Raw genomic sequence first — 19,158 nt, forward strand, 5'->3', positions numbered from 1 at the left:
TGATGACTGCAGCTCCTCGCCCCTCCCGCTGTGTTCCCGCCGCCTCTGGGCTGAAAGCGCCATCAGGACCCGTGGCGCGTGGGCTTTGTTAAGTCATTAACTGCTTGGGACATAGCAGGAGCATGGTGCGCGGCACAGAACAGGCTTGGCTTCCACGGCCCATCCAGGCGGAGCCGTCAGCGTCCCTTGCCTAGACCAGAGCTCTGGAAAGCGGAGAGGCGGACAGGGGCCGTTCCCCAGATCTGTTCCGGAGGATGCAGATCAGAACCAGAGAGGGTGCATTTAGAAACTCATTGCAACCTGACAAAGTTGCAGCGTTGTAGCGCGGGGTCAGCAACAGGAATTCGGGTTGGGTGGAGTCGGACTCAGGGAGTGGTCGCTTGTGCGCAGAACTGCGTAGACTCGAGTAGGTTCGAAAAGGATAGGCCTGGGGGCAAGACCTAGTCCTTCACCACAGGTAAATCTAGGCGTCCGCGAGGGTCTCCTGGCTCATTTTCCTGCATCCACTGGCCTCCCACCACACTGCGACATCCAGAGTGGTCGTTACACAAAGCAAACTGAATTAAGTCATTCCCCTGCTCCAGAGTCCTTGCAGCCTCCGGCCCTACAGGATGCGCCCCTGCCTGCCTGCCAGGTCGTCTTATACCCTCTCCGCATGGTCTTGCAAAACTGACTCCGCTATGCACCGCTGATGCACCAGGCTTCTCCCGGGAAAGACCTTTGCACGAATTATGCCTGCCTGGGGTATCTCTTTCCCCTCTCAACTCAAAAATCACCTTCTCAGAGGCCTTTCTAACCATTTCAGTACTCCTCATTCTGTCACATCCCTGTGTTTTATGTTCTTCATAATGAACTGAAACTGTTTGTTGTATGTTTTGTTGGGTCTTTTCATTTTCCCCTACTTGGAAGTAAGCTACTGTCTTGTTCACCCTTAGATTCCCAGCGCCTAAGGCGGAGGCCTGACACTTATAAGCACCCATTATAGTTGAGTTCCCATTTATTAATTCAAGCAAAAACTGTGGTTTGGGTCACCAAAGCATGAAACCCCACTTGGAATCTTGGGGTTTGGATATTAGCACTTAACTATTCATCCACTCCTTCATCTCTAAGTTTTCTTCTCAGAGAAAATCATGGAAATAATGATAGTATCTGCCTCATGAGGTTTCCATGAGGATGAGATGAGTTACTTTTTGTAGAAGACTCTCATGTTGAGAGACATTTATGATTGCATCAGTTAGGATGGGCTGGGTTACACTACAGTAATAAAAAATCTCCCAAATCTCAGTAGCTTAGAAAGACAAAGGTTTCTTTTCACTTACACTAGATCTCCATCAGGGATTGGTTGAGTACTCCTTGCTATCTTTAGCCCAGAAACCAGACTTACCAAGCAGACACCAACTGATGTGTGGTCAGTTGTCAAGGCAGAGGGAAGAAGAGCTTCGCTTAACAGAGCACTGATTCTTAAGACTTCCGACCAGACGTGCAAATGACTTCCACTCTCGTTTAACTAGCCAAAGCAAGTCACATGCCCCCTCATAATTGCAAAGAACAGAGGAGTGCCATCCTACCATGTGCCTTGGAGAACTGGACATATTTTCTAGATGGTAACAGCTATTGTTACTATTCATTCTAGAAGTCTTCCAGTATACTGTGATGTCCACAAACATCATGAACAACAGAACTCAGGGAAGGCTGAGCTTATGTGGATATTCAGCATGGATTTTTTTTTTCCTGTTCTTGGACAGAGCCCAACATTCTTGCTTTATGTTGAAGGAGTGTGTTAGTGACAGGTCTCTTGGGGTTCACTTGTTCTCTCTTCACAAAATCTGGATGGCACTAGGTAGTACTAGATAGATGGTAAGGCCCATTGGAAGAAAAGTAGTCTATGTTGCTCTCCTTTTGTATACTGAGATTCTACTTCAATGACTGGCACAATATTTACTGAATCAATGACTATTTGGTAAGTATATCTTTTTTTTTTTTTTTTTTTTGAGATGGAGTCTTGCACTGTTGCCCAGACTGGAGTGCAGTGATGCGCTTTTGGCTCACTGCAACCTCTGCCTCCCAGGTTCAAATGATTCTCCTGCCTCAGTCTTCCGAGTAGCTGGGATTACAGGCGTCTGCCACCACACCCAGCTAATTGTTTTGTATTTTTAGTAGAGATGGGGTTTCACTATGTTGGCCAGGCTGGTCTCGAACTCCTGACCTCGTGATCTGCCCACCTTGGCCTCCCAAAGTGCTGGGATTATAGGCATGAGCCACCGCACCCGGCCGCAAGTATATTTTATCTTACTAGTAAGGGGATGACAGCCCTGAAAATTTATCTTTCCAGTTTATCCAGGAACCCTGTAAAGAAAAATGTAAATGATTCATTTATTTAGCAAATAAGCAGGTTGAGAACATTGTTACATCAACATCTGCCACTGGAATTTCTCTTGGGGAGAAACCATTTTTATTAAGAAAAATGAAATTCCAGAGCTTGCCTTGGAGACCTCACTTCCCAGACCTAAAGCAGAGTTTACTCCTTATTCAGAACAGCATAAGGAGAACAGCATTAGGAGAACAGCATAGCTCCCAGGAATTTTTCTTTTCTTTTCTTCAACTTTCACTTTAAGTTCTGGGGTACATGTGCAGGATGTGCAGGTTTGTTACACAGGTAAACGTGTACCATGGTGGTTTGCTGCACAGATCATCCCATCACCTAGGTGTTAAGCCCAGCATCCATTAACTATTCTTGCTGCTCTCCCTACCCCCATTGACAGACCCCAGTGTTTATTGTTCCCCACCATGTGTCCATGTGTTCCCATTATTCAGCTCCCACTTACAAGTGAGAATATGCGGTGTTTCGTTTTCGTTCCTGTGTTAGTTTGCTGAGGATAATGGCTTCCAACTCCATTCAAGTCCGTACAAAGGACATGATCTCATTTCTTTTTATGGCTGCATAGTATTCCATGTGTACATGTACCGCATTTTTTTTATGCAGCCTATCATTGATGGGCATTTGGGTTGATTCCATGTCTTTGCTATTGTGAAGAGTGCTGCAGTGAACATATGCCTGCATGTATCTTTATAACAGGATAATTTATATTCCTTTGGGTACATACCCAGTAATGGGATTGCTGGGTCAAATGACATTTCTGCCTCTAGGTCTTTGAGGAATCGCCACATTGTCTTCCACAATGGTTGAATTAATTTACACGCCCACCAACAGTGTAAAAGTGTTCCTATTTCTCCGCGATCTCACCAGCATCTGTTCTTTTTTGACTTTTTAATAATAGCCATTCTGACTGCCGTGAAATGGTTTCTCCTTGTGGTTTTGATTTGCATTTCTGTAATAATTAATGATGTTGAGCTTTTTTTCAGGTTTGTTGGCTAAGTGTATGTCTTCTTTTGAGAAGTGTCTTTTCTCGTCCTTTGCCCACTTTTTAATAAGGTTGTTTTCTTCTTGTAAATTTGTTTAAGTTCCTTGTAGATTCTGGATGATAGACCTTTGTCAGATGGATAGATCAGAAAAATTTTTTCCCCTTCTGTAGGTTGTCTGTTCACACTGATGATAATTTCTTTTGCTGTGCAGAAGCTCATTAGTTTAATTAGATCCCATTTGTCAATTTTTGCTTTCATTGCAATTGCTTTTGGCATTTTCGTCATGACATCTTTGCCTGTGCCTCTGTCCTGAATGGTATTGCCTAGATTTTCTTCTAGAGTTTTTATAGTTTTGGCTCCCTGGAATTTGAGGTTAGGAAAACTTGAGAGAAAAGTTCAGAGTAGAGAAAGCACCCTAAGGTGAAAGGTGTTCTAGATAAATTTCCAGAAGTTAGGTGGTCACAGACTTTTAAGAATGAGCAATATAATAAATTGTTTTTTCACTGTTTCTGTGACTCTTTAGGAAAAGTCTGATACATACAATGTAGTGATCGTAGTTATGTTGGAAGCTGCCAGGTTTTACCCAATATGCTTTCTCTTTTTTCTTAATGGAACCCCACTTTTAGCTAGATATATGGACGCCATGGGCCTTTAAGCCCCTTTTAGAAATACTCTGTGAAACGTTGCTAGACAACCCACCAAAACATATAATTAGTTTAAGGTTGCAGTAGTAGCCCAGTCTGGTAGTTGTTACCCTAAATCTGTCTCTCCTCTTTTTTCCTTAATTATGACCTTCCTACAATTTCTTACTGGGCACATAGCTGCTCAGAAAGAAAGACTGGGCAGGGCTGGGTGACTCACACCTGTAATCCCAACACTTTGGGAGGCTGAGGCAGGCGGATCACTTGAGGCCAGGAGTTCGAGACGAGCCTGGCCAACATGATGAAACCCCGACTCTACTAAAAATACGAAAATTAGCCGGGCATGGTGGCGCATGCCTGTAATCCCAGCTACCTGGGAGGCTGAGGCAGGAGAATTTCTTGAACCCAGGAGGTGGAGGTCCAAGCAATTCTCCTGCCTCAGCCTCCCAAGTAGCTGGGATTACAGGTGGGCACCACAACACCTGGCTAATTTTTGTATTTTTGGTAGAGGCGGGGATTCACCGTGTTGGCCAGGCTGGTCTTGAACTCCTGACCTCAAGTGATCTGCCTGTCTTGGCCTCCCAAAGTGCTAGGATTACAGGCATGAGTCACCACACCCGGCCTAGAAAATCTTAATAACAGAAAAATATAAGAAAAAGAATGCTATGCCCAAAATATGTCAAATATGTTATCTTTAGTTAAGACTGAGTACGTAAGTGACAGGGCCCCATGCAAAATGAATATGTGGAGTTCTTTTTTCGAAATATCATTAATCTTGTAAAGACATAGAGCATTAAACCAACCATGAGGTCCCTGTAAGTGTGGGGACTTGTGTGACTGCACAGATCACATGCCCTTGAAGCCAGCCCTGTCTTCAGTTAAGTCTTCTTATTGGAAAGCCAACTGCATTATTTCCTATGGCTGCTATAACAAATTACCACAAACGTGGTGGCTTTAAACAACACACATTTATTATCTTATAGATCTGGAGGCCAGAAGTCAAAATGAGCTAAAATCAAGGCGTTAGCGTAGTTGGCTCCTTCTGCAGGCTCTAGGGATGAGCCCATTCCTTGTGCCTTCCAGGTTCCCAAGGGAGCTGGCGTTCCTTGTCTCCTGGCTCCACATTGCATAGCCTTTTTTCCTTTGCTTTCTTTGTCGCATTGCCTTCTCTCTGACTCTGACTCCTGTACTCCTCTGTGTTAGTCCATTCTTGCATTGCTGTAAGGGAATACCTGAGGCTGGGTAATTTGTAAAGAAAATAGGTTTATTTGGCTCATAGTTCTGTAGGCTGTACAGGAAGCATGGCACCAGCATCGGCTTCTGGTGAGGCCTCAGGAAGTTTCCAATCATGGTGGAAGGCAAAGGGGAGTCAGCATGTCACATGGCAAGAGCTGGGGCAAGAGAGAGAGGAAGAGGTGCCAGGTTCCTTTAAACAATCAGATCTCATGTGAACTAACAGAGTGAGAACTCACTCATCACGGAGAGGATGGCACTAAACCATTGCTGAGGGATCTGCTCCCATGATCCAATACCTCCCACCAGGCCCCACCTCCAGCATTGGGGATTACATTTCAACATGAGATTTGGAGGAGACAAACATCCAAACTATATCACTCTTTTATGAAAACCCTCGTGATGACCTTAGGCCCACGTGGATAATGCAGATAATCTCCCCATTTTGACATCCTTAGCTTGATTACATCTGCAAAGTTCTTTTTGCTACATAAAATTCCAGAGATTAGGGCATGGAACTCTTTGGAGGGTCATTATTCAGCCTGCTATACCAATAGAACCCTCTTTTTAAATGCCCAACGTGCTTTTGCTTACCAAAGCAGCCAAGAGAGATAGCTCCATGAAATCATAGAGTTGGAAAGTACTTTAACTTCTCTAGACACGGGAAATTTCCGACTGAATAGCTCATGGTCATACAAACTATAAACTTGTTTCTAAAATGGAACTTTTTTTTCTGCCCACCCCACTAGTCCAGTCAACACTTGTGAATGCCCTATATCGGGATGTGTTTCAAAGATCTATTTATTTATGCAAGGCAGAAACTTAAGAGTCATCTTAAATTATTTCCTCTCCCTCATGTGCCACTTCCATTCTCACCCCTACTTCTGACGAATCACCAAGTATTATGTATAACCTCAAAAAATTTCTGTGATCTCTTTCATCCCACCATTGTCAAGTTTAGGTCTTCGTTATCTCTTCTACCAGTAGCCCTTCCTCTATTATCTCTCCATTCCAATACATCTTCTAAAGATCTGTAATGGAATATTCCTTACAGCACTGACTAAACACCAGAAAATTGGAAATACCTTAAATATCCAGAAATAGAGAACCATACTCATGGTATAGTCATAAAATGGAATCTCACACAGCACAGAAATGAATTAGATTATGCACCTCAAAACAGATATCAAAAATATGATGTTGAGTGAAAAGCAGGTTGCAGAATATGCATGCATTATAATTATAATTTTTTTGTTTTATCTTTTTTTGTTCTTCTCAAAAAAAATTTTTATTTTTTATTTTCTGCATGTATTATAATTATATATAGATTGATAGATACAATTATATATTGTTTGTTGTATTATATAATGTGTATGTATAATTAGAGTACTATTTTATGTGTTCAACTTTATACACACATATGTATATGTCTGTAATCACATACATGTATGTATATGTCTGTAATCACATATATGTATGTGATTATATATGTATGTGATATATACTTAAATAAGAGTACTATTTTCCTGTAATCCCAGCACTTTGGGAGACCGAGGCGGGTGGATCATCTGTGGTCAGGAGTTCGAGACCAGCCTAGCCAACATGGTGAAACCCCGCCTCTACTAAAAATACAAAAATTAGCTGGGCGTGGTAGCATGCGCCTGTAGTCCCAGCTACTCGGGAGGCTGAGGCAGGAGAATTGCTTGAACCTGGGAAGCAGGGGTTGCAGTGAGCTGAGATTGTGCCACTGCACTCCAGCCTGGGGGACAGAGAGAGACTCTGTCTCAAAAAAAAAAAAAAAGTACTATTTTACATTTCGCTATATGCACACATATCACATGTATATACTTATGTGTGTATGAAATTAACCACATAAAATAGTACTCTAAGGATAATACATATGTAGTAAAATACACAAATATTCATCAAAATGGTCATCACAAAATTCAGCATTGTGGTGTTCTCTAGGAAAGAAGGAGGACAATGTGGCCTAGCAGAAAGGCAGAGGTGACTTTAAGTATATCTTCATGTTTCTGTTTTATTTTGGAAGAAAAGGAGGAGATTTAAAGCAATATGGTAAGACATTCACATTATCTAAAGCTGGGTAAAGACTATGTGGATAATTGTTAAATGCTGTGACGATATTTTGAAATGCCTTATAGTCAAAAAGGGAATAGAGTGCCTCAAGAAGCATGAAATCCACATGCAGACTTTCAGGGATCTCTCAACATAAGTAGTGACTCCACCAAATCAACCCAAAGCAAAGCTTGCCAGTCATCGGGCGCTGCTATGTACCCTAATCTCCCACTGGCTTTTGATGTTCTCATTATACTATGCAGAAGTCAACCAAGGATCACCAGACATTTGAGGAAACACTCCCATTTGAAAGCCAGAGAACAAATGACCTCAGATGAAAAAGAAATCCTAAGTGGCATCCTCAGAAAGATTAGAGAATACAATGCATTCATAAAGTGCAAGATTCTATAGTAAAGGGACAACCAGAAGACAATGAGATAAAGAGTCATGGAAAGTATGTACATTTTGGAAGATAAAGTCAAAGAAATCTTCCAGAAAGTAAATAGAAATGGAAGAAAGGTAGAAAATATGAGAGAAGAGACTGAATGATGGAGAAGATAAATCCAGAAGTTTCAATACCTGAATAATAATATAGTCATGATGATGGTGATAGAAACAGATAGTGTAAAAAAAAAAGAACAAAAAGATTACAAAAACAAAGTCCAGAATTGAAGAGCATGAATCTCTGCATTGAAAGGCTGCATTTATTGCACAGAACAATAAATATGTATATATCCATATCTAGATACAGCATCACAAATGATAAAGACAAACTCTATAACAGTTTACTTATAAAGGAAAGAGAAACAGGCATCAGAATTTTCACCCACACTGAGCTAAGAAGACAACAGAGCTCTTCATTCAAAGGTTTGGAGAAATATTATTTTCAACCTAGAATAACCCACTGACCTAGTGTGATGAATGAAAAAGACATTTTCAGGCTGTAAGGCTTCAGAAAGCTTACCTCCTACACTACTATTTCTTAGTAAATTATTTGAGGTATTTTCTGGCAAAAATAAAGTAAGTAAATAAGCCAAGGGATTCTAGTATCCAGGATTTTAATACAGGAAAGAGAAAAGGCATGAGGGAAAATCATAGGATGACCCCTGGGGAGCAGGTATAGATACCCATGCCGATGACCACTGGAGGAAGAACATGTCTGCTGGTAATTTGCCGGTTGTGAGAGAACAAGAGGAGCCTTTTAGAATACTCTGTTTAATAAAGACATTGGAAAAATTTGAAAATATATTTCTGTTTAGTAATTAAGAAAAACCTGTATGTAGAAACTCCCCATGAAAATTAGAAATTCAACAATAGTTTCATATGCTTATGTTTGTTTATTTATTTATTTTTTGAGACAGAGTCTCGCTCTTGTCACCCAGGCTGGAATGCAATGGCGTGATCTCAACTCACTGCAACCTCTGCCTCCCGAGTTCAAGCGATTCTCCTGCCTCAGCCTCCCGAGTAGCTGGGACTACAGGCGCCTGCCACCATACCTGGCTAATTTTTTGTATTTTTAGTGGAGACTGGGTTTCGCCGTGTTGGCCAGGCTGGTCTCGAACTCCTGCCCTCAGATGATCTGTCCACCTCGGCCTCCCAAAGTGCTGGGATTACAGGCCTGAGCCACTGCACCCGGCCAGTTTCACATGCTTATAATCAAAATAATGTAACTACTTTGACTTCCACTTTTATAATCCACATAATGAAACAAGAGGCAATGATTCACTTATGCTAAAGAGCAGAATATGCATGTTCAGCCTTGAAGATGTAAAAGTAGAGAATACAGAGGCAAGAGATGGAAGGGAAGACGACTGAAGGAAAGGCACTGGGCGGAGGATTATCTTACAAAGCCAGGAGCAAAAGATGCTGTGTCTATAATGAAAAAAAGAAGTTAAAGTTTGAATATCTTATTTCAACTTGCAAAGGCAACCAAAAGAGAAAAACAAAGAGAAATAATTGTACAAAATAATTTCATGGAGGGGAAGTGATGATTCACATAAAAGAAGCAATTCTTTGTCTATTATAGCAGAATGGAGAATTTCTAAAATTGATAAATCAAAAAAAGAACATAAGAAAAAGATAGAGATAAGAAAAAGTGGTTTCTTATCTCTAGTTTTCATGACTTTATTTCTAAATGATAAAAAAGAATTTCATGCAGAGGTATTTGCAAACACTTCTCTGCAAATAAAACACTCTTGGTGTAGAGAGTCTTTACTTCCAAAAACCTCAAAGCCAAATTGGATAAAATGATAATATAGGATATAATTTCTCTTTGTATTTTTTAATTGCTGGAGAAATCTTGATCTGCTACATATGAATTTGGATCACATACCTGGAACTCCGGTAGCTAGAAAAGTTCACCTTGATGCTTGAAAATGCTGTAAATTGTCATTTTTTTACTTCCATTTTCTTGCATCAGTAATATCTTTGCCGTTTCATTTTGTCTGTTAGTCAGTATGGATATTCATTAAAAATAACTATAAAGAAGTAGTTCAAAACTCCATGCTGATCAACATGATGGTGGGGAGTAAATAGCACACCAGGTTAAGTGTCTGATTCTGCATATGCTTGTCTAATCACCACGAACCATGATATGCATGCAGAGCACTCAAAGCTTTTTTTTTTTTTTTTTTTTTGAGATAGTGTTTCGCTTTTGTTGCCCAGTCTGGAGTGCAGTGGCACCATCTCGGCTCACCGTAACCTCTGCCTCCCAGGTTCAAGCGATTCTCCTGCCTCAGCCTCCCAAGTAGCTAGGATTACAGGTGCCTGCCACCACACTCGGCTAATTTTTTGTATTTTTAGTAGAGTCGGGGTTTCATCGTATTGGCCAGGCTGGTCTCGAACTCCTGACCTTAGGTGATCCACCCGCCTCAGTCTCCCAAAGTGTTGGGATTACAGGCATGAGCCACCACAGCCGGCCTCAAAGCTCTTTTAAAGACAGCAAGAGGAGAAGATACATCACTCTTTACTCTGAGATTCAAATAAAAATCGTGAGAGCATCCCACTTGTAGTAGGAGATGCAATGGCCATCACTTTTTTTCTGGGAATTTTTGAAGGGGTTGGGTTGGGAGAGATAGAGTAATTCTTTTTCTTCTATAGACTTCTCACTGCAAATTTTTGCTTCTGCTAAATTATTTGAATTTGCAAGCCATCCAAAACATGCTGTTCTTTTTTTTTTTTGATGCGGAGTCTCACTGTGTCACCCAGACTGGATTGCAATGGTGTGGTCTCTGCTCACTGCAACCTCTGCTTCCCAGGTTCAAGCAACTCTCCCGCCTCAGCCTCCCGAGCAGCTGGGACTACAGGCACGTGCCACCACACCCAGCTAATTTTTGTATTTTTAGTACAGACAGGGTTTCACTATGTTGGCCAGGCTTGTCTCGGACTCCTGACCTTGTGATCCACCCTCCTCACCCTCCCAAAGTACTGGGATTATAGGCGTGAGCCACTGTGCCCGGCTGTGCTGTTCATTTTTCATACCATGTTAGCTCATGCTTTGCCTACTCCCATCCTTTTCATTCCCAAACAGTACTTCATCAGATCATGTTGAGTTTGGCTGTGAATAATATAAAACACAAAATAGCAGTGTATTTTCCTCTTCAATACATTAAGTTAGGGGTAAGGAAGGCAAGTGGGTATGGCAGCTCCATGATGAGGAAGACCCCAGGCTCCTTCTGCCTTGTTGCTCCACCATCCTCAGGAAGTGACCTGCACTTCATGGTCCATGATGGCTGTTCCAGCTCCACCTCCAGCTCCAGCCATGGCCCCTCATCCCTTTATTCCAGTCAATAGAATGGGGAAATGAGCAAAGAATTGCATGCCTTTTCTGATAAGGGCATTTTTGGATGCCATATGTACTCTAGATCTACTCATTTCCCGTTGACTAGAACATGGTCACATGATCACACTGAGCTACAAGCAAGACTAGACAATTCAGTTTCTCTCTTTTTTCTTTGTTTTTCTTTCTTTCTTTCTTTCTTTCTTTCTTTCTTTCTTTCTTTTTTTTTTTTTTTTTGGACAGAGTCTTTGCTCTGTAGCACTCTACCCTGGGCAACAGAGTGAGACTCCCTCTCAAAAAAAAAAAAAAAAAAGATTTTCTATATCAATGGGGAAATCTTTTTTTCTTTTTTATTTTTTGAGATGGAGTCTTGCTCTGTCGTCCAGGCTGGAGTGCAGTGGCATGATCTCTGCTTACTGCAACCTCTGCCTCCAAGGGGGAAATCTTTTTGAAAAACCTACGTCCCCACGCAGCTGAAGAAATTGCTTAGCTTCTCATATTGTATTGGATTTGGGCTCTGCCTTCATACTGGGAGGTATAAAGTGTGGGGAGTTAGAAACCACAGTCTTTAGAGCAGGGCTGCCACACTGCACAAGTCCAGGGGCTACCATTCATATGGGATGACAGGCATCACGTGGCAGAGCTGGGACTAATTTCTAGGTTTATCAAGTATGCTTTAGGACTTAGAAGCAAGGCAGTCTCCCTGTATTTTCGTGTCCACATCTCTAGAATGGAAAATAATCGTAGCTATTTTGCAAAGCCTTTGTATGAGTTGAAATGAATGGTTTCACTTCTAATGAATAGAAAACTCCACATTGGTTTAAACACTAAGGAAATGTATAGTCTCATCTCTCATGAGGTCCAGTGGAAAGGGAAACCTCAGGGTTGGTTAATCAGACACTTCAGACCACCATAAAAGTACAGCTCCTCTTGTCTGTGCTTGCCACCTTCTATGGTGGAACACTATTGTCCTCTGGCTAATGGCAGCAGCCCAGCCCTCCAGACAGTGCAACCCTCAAAAGGAAAAGAGCCTGACTTTGCCTGTGTGTAGTGAGAAACTTTCTGGAAGCTTAATATTTTTCTTCCTGTGCCTCTCTGTTTTTTTTTTTTTTTTTTTTGAGACAAGTCTCGGTTTGTCACCCAGGCTGGACTGCAACGGCACCATCTCGGCTCACTGCAACCTCTGCCTCCCAGGTTCAAGTGATTCTCCTAACTCAGTCTCCCGAGTAGCTGGGACCACAGGCATGCACCAACATGCCCAGCTAATTTTTGTATTTTTAATGGAGATAGGGTTTTACCATCTTGGCCAGGCTGGTCGCAGACTCCTGACCTCAGGTGATCCACCCACCTCAGCCTCCCAAAGTGCTGGGATTACAGGAGTGAGCCACCGCACCTGGCCTCTTTCCGTCTCTTTATAAAGAATGACAGCCTATGGTGGTGCTTCAGTCAGGCCCAGAACTGGCACCGTGTGCTGATGACCTGTGCAGTCACATGGATCCCGTGCTTGGAAGGATCTTGCACTTGGTTTAATGCTGCCGTCACTATCTTGACCTTCTTAATACCTTTCGAGCACAGGGCCCCCATTTTTATTTTGCACTGGACCTTGCAAATTCTATAGCTGGTCCTCGTCTGGACTTGCCCTTTGGGCCTGAGGATTGAGCCACCCTTTGAAGAACGTGACTCCATGAGGATACCTGAGAGGGTACCTGACTACAATGACAGCCATTTTCCTACACCTGTTGTGAGAATGGACATGGTCAGTTTCAACACAAGTTAGTTGACTTAAAGTTCAATGTTCAAGGGAGTCACTAGAGTGGGAGCATTGGGCAATTGAAAGGACTCACAAGACCCCAGAGGGTGTGCTCATTTAGAGCTTTAATATAGGCAAAAGATGGTAGAGCAGGACAAGGAAAGTGCAGAGAACTTGGAAACGTCCAGAAGCTTTACCTTTATTATTATTTTACTTTATCTTTAGATTGTGAACCGCCAAAGTCTGTGTGAGGTGCCTCGGTCTCAGGGTCAGTAAAATTTTCATTGAATATTTCCCCTGTGAGTCTAGAGAACCTAGCTAGAGGGTGGTGGTATTTCTAAAGATAAAGCTCTCTTAATTGTTCATATTTGGCCATGTGCAGGTGAGGAGCCGTAATCACAAAATCCAAATCAGGAATAATAAAGTCCACTTCCCAGGTATTCCATGAAAAGTAAAGAAAGATGACACAGCATCTCACTTATTGATTAAATAAGGTGATTAAGCTATTGATACATAACAGGTCCTCAATATGTGTGATTTTAATTTATTAAAGATGAATAATACTTATTTTTGTCATATGAATTTCAATTTTAACTACCATTTTAAATCTGATCATTTTTGTTACAGGGATTTGGATAATATTTTGAAACTGAAGTTTTTCCAAACTCTTAACGGTTATTTATTTATTTGTTTATTTTTTTTGAGACGGAGTCTCGCTCTGTCACCCAGGCTGGAGTGCAGTGGCGCGATCTTAGCTCACTGCAAGCTCCGCCTCCCGGGTTCACGCCATTCTCCTGCCTCAGCCTCCCAAGTAGCTGGGACTACAGGCGCCCGCCAACACGCCCGGCTAATTTTTTGTATTTTTAGTAAAGACGGGGTTTCACCATGTTAGCCAGGATGGTCTCAATCTCCTGACCTCGTGATCCGCCCGTCTCGGCCTCCCAAAGTGCTGGGATTACAGGCATGAGCCACCGCGCCCGGCCTCTTAAAGGTTACTCTTTAAAAATGTAGGATATGTTGCCAAAAGACAGCAGAAAAAAAATGAGCAGGCCAGTCGCCGTGACTCAGGCCTGTAATCCCAGTGCTTTGGGAGGCCAGGGAGGACGGATCATTTGAGGTCAGGAGTTCAAGACCAGCCTGGCCAACATGGTGAAACCCTGTCTCTATTAAATACAAAAGAAAAAAAAAAAAGAAAAAATGAGCCGGGCATGGTGGTGGGCTCCTGTAATCCCAGCTACTCGGGAGGCTGAGGCAGGAGAATAGCTTGAACTCAGGAGGCAGAGGTCGCGGTGAACCAGGGTCACACCACTGCACTCCAGCCTGAGTGAAAGAGGGAGACCCTGCTTCAAAAAAAAAAAAAAGTTTCAGTTTTTTTTTTCTTTTTAATGGAAGATATAATGGGGAATTTGAGTTGTGTATATGTTTAGAAAGGGACTCGAGTAAAAAATGGTAATTGCTTGCAAATATCATGAGAGACTGCAGAAATGTGTTGACTGCTAGTAAATTAGTAGTAAATTGAGTTTTATAGATAACATCATTTTAGATGGGTGCATTATAAGGCTTGGTAACAAAGAATGACATTTTAAAAAATAACCAATTAAGATAATGTTCCAAGGTACGCCATTACATAGTTTTACACATTTGCAATTCTATTAACAGAATTTTCTAGTTTACTCTTCCTGTCACACAATGCCAGAGTATGTTTCATGTTGTACGATCATTTTCTCTCTTATGTATCCCCAAATCATTTGTCCTTTCTCAAACATATCCCCATACCACCTTTAACAAATTTTAATTATTTAGTGTATTCTTATATAACTAATTTTTTTAAAAGTCATCGACATTTTTTAAAAAGTCACAGTACAGAGTTGTTTTTACAAACATAGACTAATTCTACATGCATCTTTCTGTAAGGTTCTTTAATCACTCAACATTCTATAATGTATATTCCAATAGGAAAATTGATGCAGCCCCAAAGCTTTTTTTTTTTTTTTTTTTTGAGACGGAGTTTTGCTCTTGTTGCCCAGGCTGGAGTGCAATGGTGCAATCTCGGCTCACCGCAGCAACCTCCTTCTCCCGGGTTCAAGTGATTCTTCTGCCTCAGCCTCCCGAGTAGCTGGGATTACAGGCATGCGCCACCATGCCCAGCTAATTTTGTATTTTTAGTAGAGACGGGGGTTTCTCCATGTTGGTCAGGCTGGTCCCGAACTCCCAACCTCAGATGATCTGCCCGTCTTGGCCTCCCAAAGTGCTTAGATCACAGGCGTGAGCCACCGCGCCCGGCCCCCAAAGCATTTTTTTAAACAGTTACATAATATTCCACAGCAAGGGTATATTCAAGTTAATTTAACCATTGATTTGTTAACAACTTTTTTTTATTTTTTTGTCTTATCACTTGGCGAATGATGCTTCAATAAACACACTTTACCAATATACTCCCTACTTCAGTAAATATGCTTTTAATTCTATAGGATTTAATTCTAAAGGATAAATTTCCAGAACTAGAATTGGTAAACAAAAGGATACATATTTTTTTATTTTAAAAGAGTTTGCCAGATTAATTTTCACAAAGTTGCTGTCATTTTAGTGTTCATTGTTTTGAAAACATTATGGAACCTACTGTCTTGCCCTCCCATCATTCCCCAACTATCACTGGGTTCAACAAGTCTTTTGAACGTTTTTCCATGTATTGAGGGAAAAACATCTTAACCCACTGTTAAACTCGGCATTTCCCCGATTATTATGGAGTTGAGCTTATTTCATAGGTCTGTGAGCATCAGGATTTCCTCTTCGGTAAAATGACTATTTTTATCCTTTGACTATTTTTCAGCTGGGTTATTTGTCCTTATATTATGAATTTATGGGAGTTATTTATGTATAATATGTAGGAATCCTTTATTGGACATATGTGCTTCCAATATTTTTTGCAGCCCGTTCTTTGTCTTCTGACTTCATGTACTGCCGCCTGTCAAATTGTAGATATTTGCATAGTAAAATGTTTCTTTATTTCCTTTCATTTTTTTGAGTTTCCTGTCTTGCTTAAGAAGTCCCCCCAACACACATACCACTGCCACCAATGCCAGAGGCATATAAACATTGTCCTAGATCTTCTACCTTTTTTTATATTTTTATATTTAAACATTTAATTGTCATGGACATTATTTTTATATAGTCAAAAGGAAAGCTCTACCTCCCCCGCTGCTGCTCCCATTTGATAAGCCGTTGTTCTAGAAATGTTTACTTAAACAAACCACCCTTCTCACACCTGTAATCCCAGCACTTTGGGAGGCCAGGGCAGGCAGATCATTTGAGGTCAGGAGTTCGAGACCAGCCTGGCCAACATGGTGAAACCCCGTCTCTACTAAAAATACAAAAATTAGCCAGGTGTGCTGGTACATGCCTATAATCCCAGCTACTTGGGAGGCTGAGGCAGGAGAATCGTTTGAACCTGGGAGGTGGAGGTTGCAGTGAGCTGAGATCATGCCACTGCATTCCAGGCTGGGTGACAAAGTGAGACTCTGTCAAAAAAAGAAAAAAAGAAAAAAGAAAGAAAGAAAAGAAAAGTATTGTCTATATGAATTTTTGGTCTATTTTCCTCTCTTTGACCATTACCATTAAATACTTTAATTTTATTCAAGTAAAAGCGGAATCATATATTTGACATGAGAACTAAGTATTTCATATCGTTAAATTAGTTTGAATTAGATATGCTTTTTATTATGTATCAGGAATAACTTACTTTCTTTAACATTTATTTGTCTTTACATTTATTTGAATAACTATGTAATGAGTATCTGTTTCCTACATTTGGTAATATAGGTATACATTAATAATATCAGTAACTGGATTCTTGATCTAATCTCTAATTTATGTTGAACTGTCCCTGTTATATAGTATTTCCATAATAACTTCAGGCATTTTAGTCAAACCTTACACTTTCATCAATTGTAAAAATTAAGATGTTAATTAAGATGTTACATTAGTTGTAAAAATTAAGATTAAACGTTCCAGACGAAACAACACTGGGTCCACTTACAGTCATGCTGTTGTGAGAGGTCCTTGGACAGCTACTGCTTCCATTTCAATTCAGACTCCTTTGGCCAAAGTAACAACCTGGTAAGCAGCTCTACCTGGAAAATTAGTCCTGAAGTACTGTTTGTAAATTACACTGACAGTACTGAAGTCATTTATGTCCACCAGCAAAATTGTTTACCACATTAGTGAAGTCACAGCCTGCAGTCTTCAGAACTTCACCCATTTTTGTAAGAGCTTGTTTAGCTGCTTTGGCTACCTCTCCTGCCACAAGCTGTGCATTTGAAGAGTCCATGACTAGCTGTCCTGAAATGTAAATGGTCCTGTTGACTAACACACCTTGGCCATATGGCCCAAGGACCCTGGGGGCTTTTGCAGTCCTGATCACCTTTTTAATCAAGGATGACATAGCTAACCCTTCTCTTGAGGCCTCTCTGGGAGAAGAAGCCACCACACCACCCCTGCTTGCTTCTCACCTGAGTTGATATTATTTTCTAAAAATGTCTGATAGGATTCATTTTGGTCCAGAGCTTTTTTTTTTTGTGAAAAAGCTTCTCATTTGTCTTAAAGTTGAGGGGCCATTCAGATTTTCTATTTCCTCTTGTATTGACCTTCATCTGTAAAGTTATCTTTGTCAGCTTCACTGGAATAAAAGTGCTTCTGATATTTCTTTAATATCCCTTCAATGTCTGTAGTATCTGTTGTGTTGTCTTTTATTTTTTATTATTGGTTAGTGTGTTCTTATGTTTTGATTATTTTAGCTAGCTGTTTCTTAATTTTCTTAATTGTTTTAAAGAACCAACTTTTAAGCCATAAATGCTTACACTGAGTCTTTGTATTTCAAGGGCAGCTGCATTCCTCAAATTTTGGTAAATGGCATTTCATTATCATTCATTATGAAATATTAATTGTTTTGCTTTCTTCTTTGACCATGTAATTAAAAATGTGTTACTTTCAAATATTTGAAGATTTTTCTAAATATCTTACTGTTATTATTTTTTATTTAATTATTTTTTAAAATGCATATATTGGCCAGGCGTGGTGGCTCATGCCTGTAATCCTAGCACTTTGGGAGGCCGAGGCAGGCGGATTGCCCAAGCCGAGGAGTTTGAGACCAGCCTGGGCAATATGGAAAAACCCCATCTCTAATAAAATACAAAAAAATTAGCCTGGCGTGATGGCACATACCTGCAGTCCCAGCTACTTGGGAGGCTGAGAATCACTTCAACACCTGGGAGGCAGAGATAGCAGTGAGCCAAGATCGCACCACCGCACTACAGCCTGGGTGACAGAGCAAGACTCTGTCTCATTAAAAAAAAAAAAAATATATATATATATATATATATATATATATATATATATATATATATTGGCTCACAGAATATAACCTTTATATTTTTTCAGTTCCTTAACATTTATTGCGATATGTTTTAGGCCCCGGGAGATGGCTCTTCTTGAATATTCTATGTGGACTAGGAAAAGAATGTGTATCTATACTTGTTTTGTGTTGTTTTGTGAACTAGTCTGTAAATGACGATTAAGTCTAGTTGGTTGATAGTGGTGTTAAAATTTTCTATATATCCTTATTCATTTTTATTTGCTTACTTTATCAGTTTCTGTGAGTTGTGTGTTAAAATTTCCAAATATACTTAGTTTTCCCTTTCAGTGCTCTCAGTTTTTGCTTCTGAATATGTATTTATTTAAATAGTATTCTATTCATATTGTGTGGTTTCAATGGCTTATCTCTCCATGAAATTAACTATATTTCTCCTGGTAGTTTTTTTTTTTTTTTCAGCATCCCATATTATCTCCCTTGAGTTTTCCTTTTTTTTTTTTTTTTTTTCTTCTGGTTTGTAGCATTTTAAAACATGTCTTGGCCAGGCACTGTGGCTCACACCTGCAATCCCAGCACTTTGGGAGGCTGAGGCAGGTGAATCACCTGAGGTCAGTAGTTCGAGACTAGCCTGGCCAACATGGTGAAACCCCGTCTCTACTAAAAATACAAAAATTAGCCGAGGGTGGTAGCAGGCGGCTGTAATCCCAGCTACTTGGGAGGCTGAGGCAGGAGAATCGCTTGAACCCAGGAGGCAGAGGTTGCAGTGAGCCAAGATGGAACCACTGCACTCCAGCCTGGGCAACAGAGCAAGACTCTGTCTCAAAAACAAAAAACAAACAAACAAACAAACATGTCTTTCCCATTAGAAGCTTTCCTTCAAGCTTCTCAGTGTTCACATTTAAGAGTGAGGCACGAACATGTGAATCGAAACTTGTACGTGCATGGATGA

At 40.8% G+C, this 19,158-nt stretch overlaps 1 pseudogene; it reads right to left on the reverse strand.

Moving 5' to 3' along the window:
- RIDAP2 (RIDA pseudogene 2) lies at window positions 16,877-17,282 on the reverse strand (annotated as a pseudogene).

This window comes from Homo sapiens, chromosome 4, assembly GCF_000001405.40.
Source record: "Homo sapiens chromosome 4, GRCh38.p14 Primary Assembly".
NCBI classification, from domain to species: domain Eukaryota; kingdom Metazoa; phylum Chordata; class Mammalia; order Primates; family Hominidae; genus Homo; species Homo sapiens.